Genomic DNA, 20,635 nt, shown 5'->3' with positions numbered 1-20,635 from the left:
GGGAGTGTATATTGAGAGCAACTTGAATCTGTGTTCCTGGGGTAAAAAAAAAAATTCAAAATAATTTTACAATGCGGAAATCTGACAAACATGACTTTAGCCAAGTGAACAAAGTTGAGATCACCAATGAAGTGACAAACTGACATATGGCCCCTGTTATGTTGCAATAAGAAATTTACCACTTCAGGCTGGGCACGGTGGCTCATGCCTGTAATCCCACACTTTGGGAGGCCAAGGCGGTTGAATCACCTGAGGTCAGGAGTCTGAGACCAGCCTGGCCAACATGGTGAAATCCCTTCTCTACTAAAAATACAAAAATTAGCCGGATGTGGTGGCAGGCACCTGTAATCCCAGCTACTTGGGAGGCTGAGGCAGGAGAATAGCTTGAACCCAGGAGGTGGATGTTGCAATGAGCTGAGATCGTGCCATGCACTACAGCCTGGGCGACAAGAGCGAAACTCCGTCTCAAGAAAAAAAAAGAGAGAGAGAGATTTACCACTTCTGTGGTATTCCAGCAAAAAATGCATATTTTGAAGTTAAACGTGAAATACATCAGAAAAACTCCAAATGAACATCTTTGACCAAAATAACTTCATCTATACTCTTCAAAAATAACAAGGATAAAATACCAAGAAAAAACGATGAAAGCTATGCTATCTTTCAAGATTAAAGACTAGAAAAACATGACAACTGAAAGCAACACCCATGCCCGAAGACACATCCTATACACTCTCGGTTGGGGTGAGCATCTCTGTCAAAGAAAAAAGCCAAGGATCACTCACGTAGAGCTTTGCCCTCAGAAGCCAAGAAGTCCCTCCCTGCAGCTCTTTTGGAAAGGTCGGGCTGGGTAAGGAGAAGGCTGTGAAACACTCTGACCGTGGTCGCCGTGCCCCATAAAAGTTAAATGCTCCTCTCCCCTCCTGGAAGTGGATGCAACCCTCGCCTTCCTAAAAGAGAGGTCAGAAGGCGTCCGGGATCACCCAGCGTCTTGCAGGAATCAGGGAGAAGGGCCGGTGCCCCTGCAGCTGGAGTTTCACCCCACCCGGGGACCTGACAGGCTTCGTGGGAAATTAACAAGAGACCACCAGTCACCAAGTGACAGGGGCTGCTTTAAGGCTCTCATTTGTGTTACCGCTTTCAGTTCCCAAAACGATTCTATTAGGATGGTCCTAAACTCCCCATCTTAAAGAACTGTAACGGGAGACCCAAGGAGATTAAGTAACATCCCAGCGTTTTATCGCGAGGAAGTGGCCACGCGCGTGGGGTGCAGGGAGGCCGAGTGGGCGAGCTCAGAGCCCCGGAGACCCTAAAACCAGGCGAGACGCGACCCGACCAAGTCCCAAACACCCCGGGGACGCGAGGAGAGCCCCAAGCCCAAGAAGGCTCCACTGACGAGAACGAAAACAGCGGCCCCGCTCCGCCAAACCTCTGCTCTCCGACGAGGTTTCTTTTCCCCTAATTCGATCACCAGTTCGTTAAGGATCCAATGCGTAGGTCCAGGAAATTCAGAAGGGTCTCGCGGAACTGACCCAAACTACCAGGGACAAAACTGCAGCAACCTCACAGTAACGGAGCGGAAGTGGCCCGCTACTCCACTGAGTGTCTGGACTCCACTTCCCAGAATTCCTGAGACAAACTGACCGCGACGACCCCGAGCGTCTGGACTACACTTCCCAGAATTCCCTGGGATCCACCTGCCGGAGTCAAATTGACCGAGACTCCACTGAGCGTCTGGACTACATTTCCCAGAAATCCCCTGATTCGCCTGCCGGAGCCAAGCTGACCGCTACTCCACTGAGCGTCTGGACTACCATTCCCAGAATTGCTTGTATCCTCCTTCTGGAGCCAGTGTGTACGACTCCACAGAGCATTTGGATTACACTCCTCCGAATGCTGAAGGAAAAACGCTCAAAATCTCATTCTTCAGGGGGAAGCGTTGCCACTCCGAGGTGCCCACTGGGAACGAATCCCAAAGCCACGAGCGCCTGCCTAGTGGGGAATGTGAACTGTTATCCTGAGAGTCGTCCTTCTCTCTCCCTGGTCCAGGACAGAAAATACTGAATAGACAGGAATTTCTGAAGTCTAAACGCCTCCAATGATAACAGGAGTGTTATTGGAAAGGGAACAAGCGAGAAGACACAGTCTTCGAGGAGTTAAGTTTTGCTAATCTAATGGTAAGAAATGGTTTCTAAATGTAGTTTTAATTTGTATTTGTTCTTTTGTAAATAAAGTGGAACATCCGTGCATATTTTCCGTTGCCACTATTATAGTCTTTGTGAATTGGTCAAATAGTTTGCCCACATTTCTATTGAGTGTTTAGTTTTTTCCCCTCCGTTAAGTATTATTTACATACTCATATTAACATTGTATCAAATATTGCTCAACCAAAAAGCTTTTTTCCTTTGACTTGTTTTTCGCTATGCAAAACGTTTTTAACGTGGTCGTTTTATTATTTAAAAAATATTTTTGAGGTGTAATTCACAAAACAAAATTATTTTAAGGCACATAATTCAATGGCAATGGCATCTAGTACGAATACAGTGTTGTTAATATATACGAGTTAAGAAGCCATCACTTAGGCAGATAGGGTATGGGAGCCCTCGGTAAGGCTTTTCTTTTTAATGAAAAGCAGCCCCAAATTATTTCCCTTCCTAAGGAAGAGCAGCCTGTAAAATCCAGCTGCCGCAGACATAGATACCAGCAGTTGTGCCAATCATGTTAAAGATGGCGGCTCCATCTTCCCTTCTCTTTGTCAGCCACGTGCACAGTAAGAAGCTGGCAAGATGGGCCAATCAACTGGGAAGCCTATTTGCATAAGAAGATTAGGGTGGGGCGACCAGCCTTCCCCACGCACTATGTAAACGTCATAACTGATCGAACCAATCTATGACCCCTATGTAAATCAGACACTGCCTCCTCAAACTGGTCTGTAAAACTCAGCACATTCACTGCCAGCCGACCCTTTTCCGCTCGGAGACCCCTTCCTCTATGGAGGAACCCGTTTCTCTTTCTCTTCTTCCTATTAAACCTCCGCTCCTAAACTGAGGAGTTTTTGTGTGTCCGTGTCCTAAATTTTTCTGGCGCTTAACGACGAACCCCGGGTTTAAACCTCAGACAAAGTAGCTGCTTCATTGTGAAACCACCACCTCTTGAATTACAAAACATTTTTATCACCCAAAGAAAACCCCATGCCCACTAAGCAATCACTACTGTTGTCCATAATCCCATTCCTGGGGAAACATGAATCTTTCTCTCTTTTCTATTACCTATTTTGGACAAATCATAAAAATGAATGGAACATTTTGTTTCTAACTCCCTTTGCTTAGCATAATATTTTTAATGTTATTCACATCATACCACGTATCAGTACTTCATTCCTTTTCATAGATGAATATTTTATGTTTATACTACAATTTGTTTCTCCATTCATACATTGACGCACATTTGGCTTCTTTTCACCTTTTGGCTGTAGTGAACAGTGTTGCTACAAATGTTCGTGTATACGTATTTGTTTCATTACCAGCTTTCAGTTTTGGTTGTTTTTTGTTTGTTTTTTGTTTTGAGAGGGAGTTTCGCCTCCCGCGTTCAAGCGATTCTCCTGCCTCAGCCTCCAGCGTAGCTGGGATTACAAGCATGTGCCACCACGCCCGGCTAATTTTGTATTTTTAGTAGAGAGGGGGTTTCTCCATGCTGGTCAGGCTGGTCTCAAACTCCCGACCTCAGGTGATTCACCCGCCTCGGCCTCCCAAAATGCTGGGATCACAGGCGTGAGCCACCGCGTCCAACCGTGTATTCCACTTCTTTCTGCTGCTGAGACACAATAATTTCAGATGACTTCTCTTTATATTCACTCATTCTGAATACAGCAAGAGTAGGGAGATGAATATTAGGTGCACTTACCTGTGGCTTCAGAGCCTGCACAAACACAATCTCATATATACCACTTCCAAATGGAATACTAATCTGCACATGTAACTTAAAAAGGTGCAGGGGTCAACACCCGATTCATGATGGAAAGCATAAGTCACATGTTAATTTGGTGGTCTGTGGTCAAGTGTTCTGTCCGTTTTAAGACCCCTAGTGGCCGGGCGTGGTGGCTCACACCTGTAATCCCAGCACTTTGGGAGGCCAAGGCGGGTGGATCACGAGGTCAGGAGTTTGAGGCCAGCCTGGCCAAGATGGTGAAACCCCGTCTCTACTAAAAATACAAAAATCAGCCGGGTGCGGTGGCGGGGCACCTGCAATCCTAGCTACTCGGGAGGCTGAGGCAGGAGAATCGCTTGAAACCGGGAGGCAGAGGTTGCAGTGAGCCAAGATTGCACCACTGCACTCTAGCTTGGGCCACAGAGCAAGACTCGTCTCAAAAAACAAAAACAAAAACAAAACAAAACAAAACACCCTAGCAAAATGAAAAGCTTCTTCTCCAGAGGAGAGTAAGTATATGCAGAGGATGGCAGAAATTTGCTTCAAAATACTAAGCATCTGAATTTTGATTCTCCAATTAGGGCCAACCATAGGCTTCAAACATACTATCTGCCACGGACATTTCAAACACTTTTGGACCCCCGGGGTCACAGGGTTTTAGTGGCAGAGAAGCTTACGTGGAAGCTGGGACATATTACACAAACTTCTCTTGTCTGGGACAAGTCAAAGTTTTTGGGTCACTCATAAAAGTCAGAGTAGCACAATCGAAACAATAAGTTGCATCCAATATCAAAAATGGCACACTAAGCATTGTGACATTTTCTTTGCTTGTAGGGGGGTGATAAGCCCTATTTGTTCTATACCTTAGAAAATATATCACTTTAACTTAACACACTTAAGATATTACTATGGTGTATACCTGATGAATTAACATCTGACAATAGTTTGAATATGTATCCCCTCCAAATCTCATGTTGAAGTATGACCTCCAGTGTTGGAGGTCGGGACTATTGGAAGGTGCTTGGTCATGGAAGCAGATCCTTCATAAACATTGGTGTCCCCACCATGGTAATGAATGAGTTCGCACTCTTAATTCACACAAGAGCTGGTTGTTTAAAAGATCGTGGCATAAAAAAATTAAAAATGCATGGAAGTATAAAATGGAAAAATGCCTGCAAACACTCATTGCCAGCAAAGATCAGTAAAAATATTCATTTACACAGTATGTAAACACTCAAAAGAACATAAAACACACAAAGATATTTATTTGATTAGGTTATGAAGGCTAAAAAAAGCCACATTGTTTTTCTCCTTTTGTTATTGTGTCTATGTCATCATCTCATTGAGTTCATATTATTATAGGAATAAATGCAATTCACACAAATTCCTGTTCTTGAACACTTGTTCTTTCCATTTTAAAATGCAGTGACATCATCAATGTGGTCTTCTACTTTTTGGAGTTTTAGTGTCATAGGCATAGTTTCCTATCCTATGGTTTTCATATCAAACAGTTGCACCTTATACATTCTGGCATGTTCTGCTCTCCAAAAGACATATTTTTACTGCCAGCAATAAAGAGGAGGATTTAAATGTTACTCCTGCCCCCAATAATGAATATATTTGATGAAATTACCAAACTCCATTTTCTCTTCCTGTTTCATAGCGTTGGTGGAAGAATATTGGATAAGAAGGTTGACAAAAGCTGTCATTCAAATTTAGAATATTTTATACCAGAGAAGTTAAAAAAAAAAAAGAAATTGTACAGCAATTAAAAGGCAATCATACCAAGGCCTGCATAGAAATCACAAATCATGATCAATCTAGGATTGACTAAGAAAATTTCTGTCAATGTACATCTGGCACTTTAAAAGTGTTACTGTAAATCTTGCCTTAATACTGTTGAAAACACTTAATTGTGAAATATGCAGTGGTCTGTTATTGCAAAATTAACCAAACCTTTTCAGTCTATACTGTGAGAAAAACTACAAAAGATAATTAAATTTATACCGTATACAAGCAATGGACATTTCATAGAGCCACAAATAATACTCTGACTTCAGAGCACAGGATGGGGGGAAGCCAGGAGCCAAGTGCAATAAAATAATGTTCAATGAATATGATAAATCTGATCAAGAAAAAAATTTAAAAGAAAAAATAATAATATGCAAAATATTGCTATGGATTGCAGTACTGAGTTTACTCTGCATTTCAACTCATGTTTCCCAGAATTATTTTTTGCAGGCTTCCCTTTTTGGATACACAAAATTGTATCCAAATCCATACATATGTTTTATCCTTTCATTGATTTAACAAACAAGTACTGAACACATACAAAGTGCTAATCAATGTTAAGGCTGTGACGACTTAGCAGCAAAGACACATGTAGTTTACATTCTAGTGGACATCAATTTGGACATGTCCACCATTAGTCTGGTAAATTCATGAACTCTTACTCTTTCTAAGGCCTGTCTCCTGAATGATAGCTGTAATTATCAAACTTCTGAATGAAGCTTTATTGCACCATTTACAAGGATTCTCCATTATGGTGGTCCTGAGACTACTGGGGCATGCTGAGCTATGGCTGAAGCACTGATGTTATCTTAAACAAATGTTTTCCCTCTTCCAAGAATGGGTGAAATTTATCACCAGCATGGATTCAGAGATAAAATACTCAAAGGGAAGTGCTTACTATGTGCCTCATATTTTAATGTGTCTCTCCTTTGTGAACTTTCAGATGAGACTGCATTCATGAAGACTGAGTGAAGACTTTATTGCACCATCACATCACTAAGGTTTTTCTCCAACATGAACATTCTGATGAAGTCGAAGGCTTGAGGCCTGACTAAAGCACATATCACACTCCCTACACTTCCATGTTTTCTCTCCCATGTGGACCCTCTGATGCATATCAAGATTCAAGCGCCTGTTGTAGCCCTTCCCACAGTCCTCACATTTGTATGGCTTTTCTACACTGTGAACTTTTTCTTGCACTTTAGAGAATGAATTCTGTACAATGTTCTTCCCATGCTGCTCACATTTGAGAGGTGTTTCTCTGCTGTGGCGTCTCTGATGGGTCAGACGAGTTGAGGACCAGCTGAAGCCCTTCCCACACTCATCACATTTGTATGGCTTTTCTCCAGTGTGCACTCTTTGATGAGAATGAAGCTGTGAATTCTGAGTAAATCTTTTCCCACACTCTTCACATTTGAATGGTTTTTCTCCACTGTGCAGTCTCTGATGTTTCAAAAGACACGAGGCCCAGCCAAAACTCTTCCCACATTCCTTACAATTGTATGGTCTCTCTCCTGTGTGGACCTTCTGGTGCATATCAAGATTAAACTTACTATTGTAGCCCTTTCCACACTTCTCACATTTGTATGGCTTTTCTCCAGTGTGAACTCTCTGATGGGAATGAAGATGTGAATTTTGAGTAAATCTCTTCCCACACTCTTCACATTGGAATGGTTTTTCTCCACTGTGGAGTCTCTCATGTTTCAAAAGACATGGGGCCCGACTAAAGCTCTTCCCACATTCCTTACAATTATACAGTTTCTCTCCTGTATGGACGCGCTGGTGAAAGTCAAGATCCAACCTCCTTTTGTAGCCCTTCCCACACTCCACACATTTGTATGGTTTTTCTCCACTATGGGATCTCTGGTGGGAATAGCATTGTGAATTTGTGTAAAATCCTTTCCCACATTCTTCACATTTGAATGGTTTTTCTCCACTGTGGACTCGCTGATGTTTCAAAAGACACGAGGCCCATCTGAAGCTCTTCCCACACTCTTTACAATTATATGGCTTTTCTCCCGTGTGGACCATATGATGCGTATAAAGATCTCGCCTACAAATAAAGCCTTTTCCACACTCCTCACATTTGTATGGTTTCTCTCCTGTGTGGATCATGCGATGACTATTAAGTGCTGATCTCTGACGAAAGCTCTTATCACACGTATCACATCGGAATGGTTTCTCTGCCGTGTGAACCATGGAATGCCTATTAAGTCTTGATCTACCACAGAAGCTCTTACCACATATATCACATTTGAATGGCTTCTCCCCCGTATGGATTCTCTGATGTTCTTGAAGCTGGGAATCGTGAATGAAGGCCTTCCCGCATTCCTCACAATTATAAGGTTTCTCTCCTGTGTGTAATTTATGATGAACATTAAGTGCTGATCTACGACTGAAGCCTTTCCCACATTCCACACATTTGAACGGTTTCTCTCCAGTGTGGACTCTCTGATGAGTTTGCAGATGTGAACTCTGACTGAATTCCTTACCACACACGTCACACTTATAGCATTTCTCTCCCATGTGGACTCTCTGATGAATACGAAGGGCTGAGATGTAACAAAAGTTCTTTCCACACTCATCACACGTATGAGATTTCTCTCCTGAGTGTAATTGTTGATGAAAATCAAAGTGGGAGACATCACTGAAGGATGGTTTATATCCATTGCCCTGGGAAGATTTCTGTCTTGTGTGAATTACAGATAGTCCTGCCTCAGTCTGGCAGGGGAAATCACCTTCTTTGGAGAACTGAGAGCTATTTATCATCAAGTCTTGAGACCTGGTTAAATCACTTGCAATTTTTTCCCAGATTTGCTGGAAGGACCACTCTTGATGTGTTCCTGCTTCTGAAACAGTCTCCATCTCAGTTTGGATCTTGTCTCCTATCAGAATACAGAATTAAAAGATGAGGACAAGTGAAGCCTTTGTTCAGTGTTATCAAGATTTCACTTAGGCCATGGCAGGAAACTCTCATGAGTATAGACAACATTCAGTTTGTATTTTTCAAGTGCACCATAATCTTTGGTTTGGATGAGGCCAATTTCGAACTAAACCAAGTATCATATGTAAAATACTTGATAGAAATAAAAGACGAAAAACAATAGATGTTGACATGGGTGTGGTGAGAAGAAACGCTTATACACTGCTGCTGGTGTGAATGTAAATTAGTACAACCTCTATGAAATACAGTATGGAGATTCTCTAAAGAACTAAAAGTGGATCTACCATTTGATCCAGCAATCCCACTACTATCTACCCAAAGGAAAAGAAGTCCTTACATCAAAAGGACACCTGCATGCCTATATTTATTACAGCACAATTCACAATTTCAAAGATATGGAACCAACCTAAGTGCCCATCAACCAATGAGTGGATAAAGAAAATATGGTATATATTCACCAGGGAATACTATTCAGCCATAAAAAAATGAAATAATGTCTTTTGCAGCAACTTGGATGGAGCTGGAGGCTATTATTCTAAGTGAAGTAACTCAGGAATGGAAAACCAAATACCGTGTTTTCACTTATAAGTGGGAGTTAAGCTATGGGTATGCAAAGGCATACAGAGTGATATAATGGACTATGGAGACTCAAAATGGGGAGGGTGGAAGGTAGGGTAAGGGATAAAAAGCTACAAGTTGGGTACAATGTACACTACTCAGGTGATGGGTACACTAAAATCTCAGACTTCACCATTAGACAATTCAACCATGTAACCAAAAACCAGTATATACTTTAATAAAAAAAGACTACTGAAATAAAATTTTTAATAAAAATAAAAGACAATAATAAAATTAATATGATACAAACATTATACCTGCTACTCTTCCTAGTGAATTTCCTAATCAGTCTAAAATCTTGCATGGTAAATTATGAAGCTAATAAATTGTGTATATAATAAAATATGAATCAAAACCAATTTTAAACAAAAGTAATATAATCAAGACTTGGTACATTTGTGTTTATATTGTGTATCCTTACAAAGTAAAGATATTAACCTTACTCAAAATGAGGTCTAGATGTTTTCCTCAGGATCTGAGAGGTAATGTCTAGGAGTTTATGCCTGAGGAGAGTGTCTTTGTTTGCTTGAGAGTAAAACTAGGTCACTGGAAAGTGAAACAATATGATTTAGGGTTGTAGCTGGCCACGCCTTTGGGGGTCGGTGCCCCCTATGTCACAAAGAGCAACGTGATTTAAGGTGAGGCTTTAGGTTACATGGAATCAGTGGCCCAGGAGACTGACTAGCCACATGGGAATCAATCAACAAATAATGGCTATGTAATGGAGCCTCAAAAATTACTTGTAAAACCAGGGCTCGGCTGGGCGCGGTGGCTCACGCCTGTAATCCCAGCACTTCGGGAGGCCGAAGCGGGCAGATCACGAGGTCAGGAGATCGAGACCATCCTGGCTAACATGGTGAAACACCATCTCTACTAAAAATACAAAAAAATTAGCCAGACATGGTGGCGGGCGCCTGTAGTCCCAGCTACTCGGGAGGCTGAGGCAGGAGAATGGCAAGAACCCAGGAGTTGGAGCTTGCAGTGAGCTGAGATTGCGCCACTGCACTCCAGCCTGGGTGACAGAGCGAGACTCCGTCTCAAAAAAAAAAAAAATACAGGGCTCAGGTGAGCTTCCCTGATTCGCTGTACCCTCTACGTCACACCTTAATTCTGGGAATTTAACGCATCCTACTCTATGGGGAGAATACAATACAAGATCCTCATTTGGTACTTCCCAGAACTGTTTCTTATTTTTCTCTTGGTGAAATGTAATGTGCATCTCTACCCTGTAAATATCCGTAACTTTTAGTATAAAAGCATTCAGTGAGTTCTGCTTATCTTTCTAGGTAATTACTGAATGTGAAGGTAGTTTTGGGAAATCCCCACACTTGCAGTTGGTGTGAAGTGAGAGCGATCTTCTGTAAACTCTTGCTCTAAACTGTGCAGCCAGTTAAACTCTTCACAATAATATCAAAGGCCTAGGAGTGTTTATATCTACATATTCATAATATTCCTACACAAGAATTTGGCATAACATGTATCTTTAATTTTATTTTTCTGTAGATGTGAACAATAATTTGGTTAACTGAGATAGGTAAGAAACAGACAACCAGTTTTGATGGGAATCTGAAAGGTTGGACCTGACAGGGGTAAAGAAAGGGTGATGCTCCTGATGAGACAATGAAAGGTGGTGAGAACACTTGGGATAAAAAGAATGCCTGAGGGGTCATGCCCTGGGTTGGTTCCATGTGGGGATATTAGACTCTCATTAAAATAAAAAAGACCAGAGGCTAGGCACAGTGGCTCATGTCTGTAATCTCAGCACTTTGAGAGGCCAAGGCGGGCAGATTGCTTGAGCCCAGGAGTTGGTGACCAGCCTGATTAACATGGTGAAACCCTGTCTCTACTAAAAATACAAAAATTAGCCAGGTGTGGTGGTGCACACCTATAATCCCAGCTACGTGGGAGGCCGAGGTATGAGAATCATGTGAACTCAGGAGGCAGAGGTTGCTGTGAGCTGAGATCATGCCAATGCTCTCCAGCATGGGTGACAGAGTGAGACCCTGTCTCAAAAAAATAAAAAAAGAAGAAAAAAGAGGGCAGAAAATATATGATATAGATAAATACTCCTTTATACTTATTTCCAAATGGAAGAATATAGACAAAAAGTGAGCTATAAAATAAATTTAAAACCTTCTAATGAGCATTTAGAAAAAAAGAACTAGAAAAGAAATGATCACATCTTCATGACAAGCAAGAAAGGTATCATTTCATGAAATGCCTACTGAAGTAACCCATAGACATCTACATGCATGAAAAATGTTTGTCCTGGTTATGGTGAAAGATGTGTTTCTTACTATGACTCACAATCATAAAAATGTTGACAACTTTGGTCAGGATATTACCAAGTCCTAAATTAAGTCAGTCAAATGGAAAGTTAACTTCCAAGGTTGAATCTTGGAAAAACAGTAATAGGTAAATATGTACCCAATGGTACACGCTGGAATATGGATATATTTAACACACTGTTACTTAAGAGGTTTTTGGGGAGAAGAGAGAGTCTCTTTCAGGATGTCAGTATTTTGAGAGGGCAGTTTCCTGATTCCTTCCAAGTTATAAAGTTGAAAATAGAGCACTAGGTCTCTAAAAAATAAAGGAAAAATTATGTTGTAAAATCTGTATTCTTTTATGTTTTTAACAATTAAATCTGTATACAATGAAGGTGCAGAAATATACATATTTTTGAACAAAGATGACCAGAAATATAGGCAATGTTTAGCTGCATGAATTGTGTTGCTCTCTTCCTCATTCTTCCCCACCCAGGAGAAGAAGAAACCTGGGGTCAGTGACGTGCATGCAGACTTTGGAAAGGCAAATGGGCTGCAGATGGGTAAATCTCTCAAAGGAAAGCTAGCTGGGAAGCTGGTTATTATCTGACACATCACAAAATGGAGAATTTTTTCCCCTTGTAGAAGAGCTGTCTCACTAGTAGACATCAGAATGTTCATTCAAAAATGATTTCTTTCCAGAAATGAATATGCTTCCTATGAAAAGCTCCAGGATAAGTCATATGGAAGGCATATAGCTCAGTATGGTAATAAATAGAATGCTTAGAAGTTTCCATGGGATGTGGGTCCACCGTAAACACACAAGGCAATCAAATAACGGAATCTAAGAACATTGTAATTAAATACATGGCCATTGGAAGACAAAAAACATGTTCTGCAATATCTCTCTTTCACCGTAGTTTGTGTTTCACTTATTAGTTCTCTCCATAATTTCAGGAGACAGTGAAGTCACCCCATTCATTAGCTCATATATCAGGTTAACAAAAATTTGGAAACCTGCCATGTACCAGGACCATTCTAGGCACTGAAAATACAGCCACGAAGAGTTAAAATTCCTTAGACATTATAGTCCAGCATGTAGAAGTGACAGATAAACAGAAGTATGTGAGACTTGGTACAAGAGAGCACAAGAAGAATCAAAATAGAATGGAATTATAAAGAGAGTGGTTTAGGATGGCTTCTCTCATGACTTTAAAACTGAAAAGAAACTTGAATAACTGAAGGAGATGCCAGAAGGTTTTGAGGTGACAGAGTATCCCAGTGACTGAGATGAGCAAGTAAGGGCTGAGACAGAAGCTTCTGTAGAGACAGAATAATGGTTCCTAAAAGATGTCCACATCCAGTCCCCAGGACTTATGATCACGTTGTTATACAGCAGGGGAACAGAGGTTGTAGATGCAATTAAGGTTGCTAGTCAGTTAACCAGAGAACAGAAAGATCATCCTGGATTATCCAGGAGTGATCAAAACAATTACAAGGGACCCAAAAGGTGAAAGAGGAAGGCATAAGAAGAGTGGCAGAGGGAGCATGACTATGGGGATGCAAGTTGCTGCCTTTGAAGATGGAGGAAGGGAAGCAAGAGCCAAGGAGTATGGACAGTGCCTAGACACTGATAAACTAAAGTAAAGGCTTCTCCCCAAGAGCATCCAGAAAACATGAAGCCCTACAGACAACTTGATAATTGCCCAGTGAGATGTATCAGACTTCATCCCTAAAGAACACAAAAATAATAAATGTTTGTCTCTCAGTCTGCTCAGTCTGTGGTCACTGGGTACCAGCAAAAGGCAACACAGTGCCCTTGGGAGGACAGAGAAACAGCAGGGAGAATAAAGTGGCTGGTAAAGACAGAGCAAGAAGGAGAGGACAGGAGATGTAGTTAGAGAGGTGGCAGGGAGGGGATGAAGAGCAGATCACAGGGTCTCTAAAAGTCAATTAAAGAGGTTGTAACTTTAATAAAAATAAGCCAAACAGGCTTTTGAGCTGAGGAATGGCAATCTGACTTACATTTCCTAAGGATCACTTTGGCTGCTATGAGAACAGATGTCAGGATGTGAAGGCGGGTGGCAGGGCCACCAGGTGTAAGATGGTTGTCAATAATCCAAGAAAGAGGTTTGGCCATTTAGGCCAGGGCAATGGATTTGAGCATGGACAGAAGTGAAACAGGTGGAAGAGACATACAGGGATTCACAGTTGCTTGATTCTTACCTGAATTCCCTTCCCTTTGGATTGCTGTCTTCATCATCCAAATCTTTTCTTCCCTTAGGAAGTGGAAAGTATCCCTGTGGAATGCTTGATGTCCTGCAAACAGGCAAACTTACATGCTTAATCCCAACACATTCTAGGTAATATCAAGGTAAAGTTTACCAGAAATTTAGGTTCTTACTGCACACTCAAACTTGAACCATAGGTTCAAGTTACTAATTAAGACTTGAAACTTTGTACCCTAGGATACAAAGCCACCTCTGGGGCCTGACGTTCTGTTACAGAGGGTGCCTGTCCTCACCCACTGAGAGCAGGTTCCTGAAGTTCTCCAGCATCACATCTCGATACAGCTTCCTCTGAGCAAGGTCCAGCAGCCCCAGCTCTTCCTCAGTGAAGACCACAGCCACGTCCTTGAAGGTCATTGCCTCCTATAGCATCAAACATATGCAATCTCAGTCTCATGACCAATGATTCCTGGGAGAGGGGTGGCACTGAGCAGACAGAGGGGAGGGGTGGGAAGTTGTTTTGGATCTTGAGAGACATAGGTCAACTCGTAGATTTCCTACTCATTCTGTCTGTATCCTGACAATGACTGATTTCCCTGAGTTCCACCAGAAACACAAAGATGAAAAAGACTTCCTGTATTTTTACTTCGTGCAATCATTGAGTCTTCTTGTAAGTAACCCTCTAGGACTCTAAATGTGGCATCCTGGGCTACACATATATATGTTTTGATAAATCTTGACAATCACCCTCAGCAACATTTAGCAATTCAGTCCTGACTTTGTTTGATAATGCCCATTGTCTTCCTCTCTCAAACTCGAACCCTGGATGTTATTGTTTTTCTTCAACATTTGCCAAACTGACAAGCTTATGGTGACATGTTTGAGTAGTTATGCAGTGAGTCCTCTATACTCTCCAGGCAAAAACTACATACATTAATTGCAACACTGAATGTCATGATCTGCAGCCAGCGTGCCTCAGAGCGCATATATAAGGCTCTGTCCCTTCCCAGTCATGTGACCTTGGACAAGTTGGCCTGAATGCATTACTTTCCTCTCTATATAATGATCGTCACATGATATAGTTTTCAAATTAAACAGTGGAATATACGTATGTTACTGGGGAAAAGTGTGTAGCAAGACTGAATACTTAATAAACATTAGCTATTTTTATTTTTGTCAATTATTGTCGATTTTATCTCATGTCTGCATAGTGTTCCATGGAACTAATCTATTGTTATTCTAAATAATGAATATTTAATTTTATATCTTTTCCATGATTACCAATCCAATAAAGAACATTTCAGGTAGATCTTACTCTCCTATTTAAAGTAAGTTTTAAATAACAAAATGTCAGAAATTTAATATTATGATTATGTCATGTTTTCTCAATTTTTTTTTTTACCTAACTTCAAAATCTTTCAAGGGGATACATTATTCTGGTTTTTCTTAACATAGCCAAAAGCAAGTTATCAATTTTCCCATTACTTTGGTAATCTGATTAGGAAGAAATTGTTTTTTTCTTTTTTTTCTTTTTGTAGAGATAGAGTCTTGCTATGTTTCCCAGGATGGTCTTGAGCTCCTGGTTTCAAACAATCCTCCTTCCTAAGCCTCCTAAAGTGCCAGGATTATAGGTGTGAGTCACAGGCCTGGCCATGATTTTGTTTTATTATTCTCACTTATTTGATTATAAATGAATACCACCATCTTTTCAAATATTTATTGACATCTGTTTTTCTCCTTCTATACATTCCTGGTAATGTCCTTTATTTGTATTTCTTTGGATTTTCTTCCCTGGTCTGGGCATAAGATTCTTATTTTGGATTGTATCTTGTTTTAGATATCCAAATGGTAAATATTTTCACCTTAGACTGTTACATTTTCTGGTTTGTGTAAGGCATCTTTTCCCATAATGAATTTTAAAATGTTCTATAACAATTGTGGTAATTGCCGTCCTTGGGTGCCTGAAGTGCTGGGGGCCATGGAAGAGGTACTACGACAGGAAGAGAAGATGCCCCCCTCCCAAGGTAGGTCCAGGGAGGAGCGATGCCACCTGTGGACATCATCACTCAACAGGACACTCCAGACACCCACACCACAGGGCACAGTTCCCTCAATGGAGAATTCTCTCTTTCTTTTTCTCTCTCTTTCAACTGAGTAAAAAGGCTAAAATAACTAATATTCTGGACCCTTGGTCTCCTGTCTGAACCTGAGCAGGTTTCTCATATTTCATGTGTTTAAGAGGAAGATAAGAACAGCCTCATTCAGCTGTTCTGAGGAGTAAATGAAGAAACAAAACACAAGTGACTGGCAAATTTTCTAGTATCATGCACAAAAAATTTAGGTTAGGCTGGGCGCGGTGGCTCACGCCTGTAATTCCAGCACTTTGGAAGGCCGAGGCAGGTGGATCACCTGAGGTCGGGAGTTCGAGACCAGCCTGACCAACATGGAGAAACCCTGTCTCTACTAAAAATACAAAATTAGGCATGGTGACGCATGCCTGTAACCCCAGCCACTCAGGAGGCTGAGACAGGAGAATCCCTCGAACCTGGGAGGCAGAGGCTGCAGTGAGCCGAGATCGCACCATTGCACTCCAGCCTGGGCAACAAGAGTGAAACTCCATCTCAAAAAAAAAAAAATTAGCTTACATATTACTTTGGTCAAATTCCTTAGTATATAAAGGAGTAAAGAAAGGCCAGTAAGTAAAAGACATAGAAGGCATGACTCAGGCATGGGGGAAAGAGAATCTAGCTCTTCCTGTGTGGAAACTTCCAGCAATCCTTGTGTGAAGCCACAGTTACAGCCTGCCATGATGTGCCACATATGGATACTCTATCTACAAAACAGCCAACGTGGCACACATCAAAAGTAGCCTTTCAAAACTGAGTTCCTGGTGTCTGGAAGTATAAAGTAATTAAAAAGGAACATCGATTAAATGGGAATATGGTGCAACCATTAAAAATGAACATTATATAATATTAAATACAAAGAGTGCAATTTAAATTAGATTAACATCACCAATACAAATACAGTTATGAATGCACATGAGGAAGAGTATCACAGGATAAAAATAGCTAATGTGTGAGCAGAGAAGTAGTATAATGAAATAATTATCCATTCCTACAATCTTGTCTACTCCATAGAATAAATGATAGAAGAAAACAAGTAGTAAAAACAAATGCAAAATCCACTCAAAAGTAACAAAGGAAGTACATGGTACACAAGAGATCCTCAAATGTCTGTTTTTCTCCTTGAGTCTTCCCAAGACAGAGGAAAACTTGTGACAATTTAAGTACTGAGAGGGAATTTTAAGAGTAATAGAAGCAAGTCCTACCCACCTTGAACGTGGTCATTTTCCCTCTTACTTCTGGAAACTTGCAGAGTCCTGAGTGATGCAGTTCCTGGGAAAGCAGAATTGTGCCTGCAAAGTGCCAGGAAAGGCAGAAAAAGAGACATGAAAAGGTGGCCAGGGATGCCACCCACCAACAGGGATGTGTATTGTGAATTGGCACATGACTGTTCACAGCAGCATTAATCATAAAAACCCAAAACGGCACAACCAAAATGCCCTCCTGTGGGTAAATGAATAGACAAATCATGGTCTATCCATACAATGGAATCTTACTTGGAAATTTAAAGAAATGAAGTACTGACTCATGCTACAACATACATGAACCTTTGAAACATTATTGCTAAATGAAAGAAGCCAGTTAAAAAAGACCACATATTGCAGGATTCCATTTCTATAAAATGTCTGGGTAGGAAAATGCATAGAGAAAACTGATTAGTGATTGCTTCAGATCTGAGTGAGAATGAAGTCTAACCATAAGTAGGCAGGAGGAAATCAATATGAGCATGAAATGATCACCGAATTGTGGTGATGGTTACTCCATTCAGCAAACTGTCTAATGATCACTGGATGTACACCTGATATAAGTAAGTTATATGATACAATAGGTTGGAAAAAATAATTGTTAATGTACACGTTATCTAACTTAAGAGTCAATTCTAAGGCCATATTGATAGAATATTTGTAGTTGAACAAAGAATAAATGGAGAAGGTCATTTTACAGCTGAATGCCCACTAATAATGTTATCTATTCCTAAGAAACTTTATTCTTTTCAATTTTTTTTAAGTAACTTTATAGTGGAGAAATCTGAAAGACAGCGTCTCGGCCAAGTGGACAAGGTTGAGATCACCAATGAAGAGACAAACTGACATCACTTGGACCCTGTTATGTTGCAATGAAAAGGACATTTCAGCACTTCTGTGGTATCCCTACCAACAATGCATAATCTGAACCCGCAATTCACCACTTCTGTGGTATCCCTACCAACAATGCATAATGTGAACCCGCACATGAATTACATCAGACACAACTCCAAATGAATGCCTTTCTCCAAAATAACTTGCCTATACTCTTCAAAAATATCAAGCATAGAAAGACAAAGGGTGTAGAATCCTCAAGATTAAAGATTATGGAAATGTGACAATTAAAGGCAATGCATAAAATTAGACTGTGAACACAGGTGGTGGTGGCAGATGGGTAGGGGACACTTGTAAGAACCTTAAGTGAAAAATAGAACAAATTTAAATATAGAACTGCAGAGTACATAACATGAAGTTAGGTAATATGTTATCTAGCACTGTATAATAGATAATACAATAAACTACTATTAGCAGTCTTTGGATAGATATCTAATATTTAATAAATAACATTATCTGGTATACAATCTGAAATTATCTAATATGTTATGTGAAACCATATACTAGGTCTTCCTAAATTCTACTTACCAAGACAGCCCCTGGTACGTGGGCTTCCTTGCTGCAGAAAGCTATAATCAGCTGTCTCTGGTTACAGGTATGTTTCTAGTGGTATTCAGCTGATGGTCATCAACAAAACAAACAGGAAAAATGTAAACACTTGGCAAACGTGGGTAAAGAGTAAATAAGAATTTCTTAGGCTACTTTTGCAACTTTTCTATAGGTTTCAAATGACATGAAAATAAAAAGTTTTATAATTTTAGGAAACAGTCATAGGAAAAATAATAACAATAATGAGATTAATGAGTATGATATAACATGATAATTCACTAGTTTAGTCTGTCAGCATTTGGAAATTTCCATAGTTAAACACATAAGGGGGAAATATTAAGAAAAAAATTATAAAAATTTGTAAATGTTCATAAATAAACCTATAAATATACAAAAAGAAAGAAACACATTACGAGCTTAACAGTTGCTACCTTTACTTCATGGATTCGTAGGTAATAAAAACATTTTGTTCTTTTTTTTTTTTTTTTGAGACGGAGTCTCGCACTGTCGCCCAGACTGGAGTGCAATGGCAGATCTCCGCTCACTGCAACCTCCGCCTCCCAGATTCAAACGATTCTCCTGCCTCACCCTCCCGAGTAGATGGGATTACAGGCGCCCACCACCACGCCCAGCTAATTTTTGTAATTATTTTTTAGTAGAGATGCGGTTTCACCATGTTGGCCAGGCTGGTCTCGAACTCCTGACCTCGTGATCCGCCCGCCTGGACCTCCCAAAGTGCTGGGATTACAGGCGTAAGCCACCGCGCCAGGCCCATTTTGTTCTTAATAAAGAAAAATAGAATGCTGTACAATGACATGGTTCTATAAGAATACAAAATATTTGTAATGATTGAAACAAAATAGTTGACAACATTTTTAGAAACTCAGAAAATTTCAAGCCCCTAAGTCTTGCTTTCCCCACCTAAGTCCAACTAGTTCCTCTGCCTCAGTGACAACGTATCCCAAGAGAAGATCAAATCAGGCTCTGACCCAGACTGCTTAGGTTCCAACCCCAGCTCCACCTCTCACTAGTCGGGTGCCTATGCGCTCTGTGTCTCACTTTCGTTTTTAAAATAGAAAAAAGCAATACTTCTCCACAGAGCCACGGTGTGGCGTAAATTTATTTGTATAAAGCCCTTAGAATGAAGTTACTAATTAAGACTTAATTATTATCGACCCCCATGCCCGAGGACACAACCTATACACTCTCGGTTGGGGTGAGCATCTCGGTCAAAGAGCCAAGGACCACTCACGTAGAGCTTTGCCCTCAGAAGCCAAGAAGTCCCTCCCTGCAGCTCTTCTGGAAAGGTCGGGTTGGGGAACGAGAAAGCTGTGAAACACCTTGACCGCGTCGCCGTCCCCCATAAAAGTTAAATGCTCCTTTCCCTTCATGAAAGTGGACGCAACCCTCGCTCTCCTAAAAAGAGGTCAGAAGGCTTCCGGGATCATCCAGCGTCCTGCAGGGATCAGGGAGAAGGGCCGAGGCCCCTGCAGCTGGAGCTCTGACCCCACCCGGTCCTTCGTGGGAAATTAACAAGAGACCACCAGTCACCAAGTGACAGGGACTGCTTTAAGGCTCTCATTTGTGTTACCTCTTCCAGTTCCCAAAACGATTCCATTAGGATGGCCCTAAAGTCCCCATTTTAAAGAACAGTAACGGGAAACCCAAGGAGATTAACACCCCAACGTTATATCGAGAAGAAGTGGCCACGCGCGTGGGGTGCAGGGGGCGGAGTGGGCGAGCTCAGAGCCCCGGAAACCCTGAAACCAGGTGAGACGCGACCCAACCAAGTACCAATGCCCCCGGGAAGCGAGGACAGACCCAAGCCCAAGAAGGTGCCACGGACGAGAACGCAAACAGCGGCCCTTGCCCCTCCAAACCTCTACTCTCCGACGAGGCCCCTTTTCCCCTAATTCGATCACCAGTTCTTTGAGGATCCAATGCGTAGGTCCAGGAAATTCAGAAGGGCCTGCAACGCGCGGAACTGCCCCAAACTATCGCGGAAAAACTGCAGCAACCTCAGTCCCCGAGCGGAAGTGTCCGCGACTCC

At 41.3% G+C, this 20,635-nt stretch overlaps 2 protein-coding genes and 1 long non-coding RNA gene across 7 annotated transcripts in view, besides 3 other annotated features; 1 reads left to right on the top strand and 2 right to left on the bottom strand.

The window, feature by feature from the left end:
* The window catches only part of ZNF225 (zinc finger protein 225), a 23,398-nt gene extending 19,827 nt beyond the window's left edge, over positions 1-3,571 (bottom strand). Inside the window, exons 1-2 of one of the 4 annotated variants that reach the window (NM_001321685.2) lie at positions 1,427-1,597; positions 783-947 (exon numbers count right to left, since the gene is read on the bottom strand). The gene's annotated coding sequence lies outside the window, so the exon portion shown is untranslated. Of the gene's footprint in view, positions 1-782; positions 948-1,393; positions 1,598-2,698 lie in introns of those variants that run through there. The other 3 variants (XM_011527286.3, XM_011527285.3, NM_013362.4) reach the window with 3 other exon arrangements.
* Positions 1,144-1,843: an enhancer, noted in NCBI's record as "active region_14753". NCBI's record gives its function as "activates an Ori minimal core promoter by ATAC-STARR-seq in GM12878 lymphoblastoid cells {active_cell/tissue: GM12878}" and the evidence as "EXISTENCE:reporter gene assay evidence [ECO:0000049][PMID:35858748]".
* Positions 1,144-1,886: a biological region, named in NCBI's record as "ReSE screen-validated silencer GRCh37_chr19:44617263-44617613".
* Positions 1,536-1,886: a silencer, noted in NCBI's record as "fragment chr19:44617263-44617613 (GRCh37/hg19 assembly coordinates)". NCBI's record gives its function as "represses an EF-1alpha promoter that drives an FKBP-Casp9 reporter gene in an ReSE screen in phorbol 12-myristate 13-acetate-treated (for megakaryocytic differentiation) K562 erythroleukemia cells {active_cell/tissue: K562(+PMA)}" and the evidence as "EXISTENCE:reporter gene assay evidence [ECO:0000049][PMID:32094911]".
* On the top strand, positions 1,813-9,657 carry ZNF225-AS1 (ZNF225 and ZNF224 antisense RNA 1). The gene is made up of 2 exons (NR_033341.1): positions 1,813-2,174; positions 6,659-9,657. It is a non-coding gene; the product is annotated as a ZNF225 and ZNF224 antisense RNA 1 (long non-coding RNA).
* ZNF224 (zinc finger protein 224) lies at positions 5,170-20,635 on the bottom strand. 2 transcript variants are annotated; one of them, NM_001321645.3, is made up of 6 exons: positions 20,466-20,635; positions 18,565-18,653; positions 17,108-17,190; positions 14,069-14,195; positions 13,771-13,863; positions 5,170-8,600 (listed from the first exon to the last, which is right to left on the bottom strand). In NM_001321645.3, exons 3-6 carry the CDS (start codon positions 17,120-17,122, stop codon positions 6,712-6,714), a joined length of 2,124 nt encoding a protein of 707 aa, NP_001308574.1. In that variant the 5' UTR covers positions 17,123-17,190; positions 18,565-18,653; positions 20,466-20,635; the 3' UTR covers positions 5,170-6,711. The 2 variants fall into 2 exon arrangements, with proteins under 2 accessions (NP_001308574.1, NP_037530.2); NM_013398.5 differs by having other exon boundaries at positions 20,508-20,635.

The sequence above is a fragment of the Homo sapiens genome, chromosome 19 (assembly GCF_000001405.40).
Source record: "Homo sapiens chromosome 19, GRCh38.p14 Primary Assembly".
Classification (NCBI taxonomy): Eukaryota; Metazoa; Chordata; class Mammalia; order Primates; family Hominidae; genus Homo; species Homo sapiens.
This window is presented reverse-complemented; position numbering and strand designations above follow the sequence as displayed.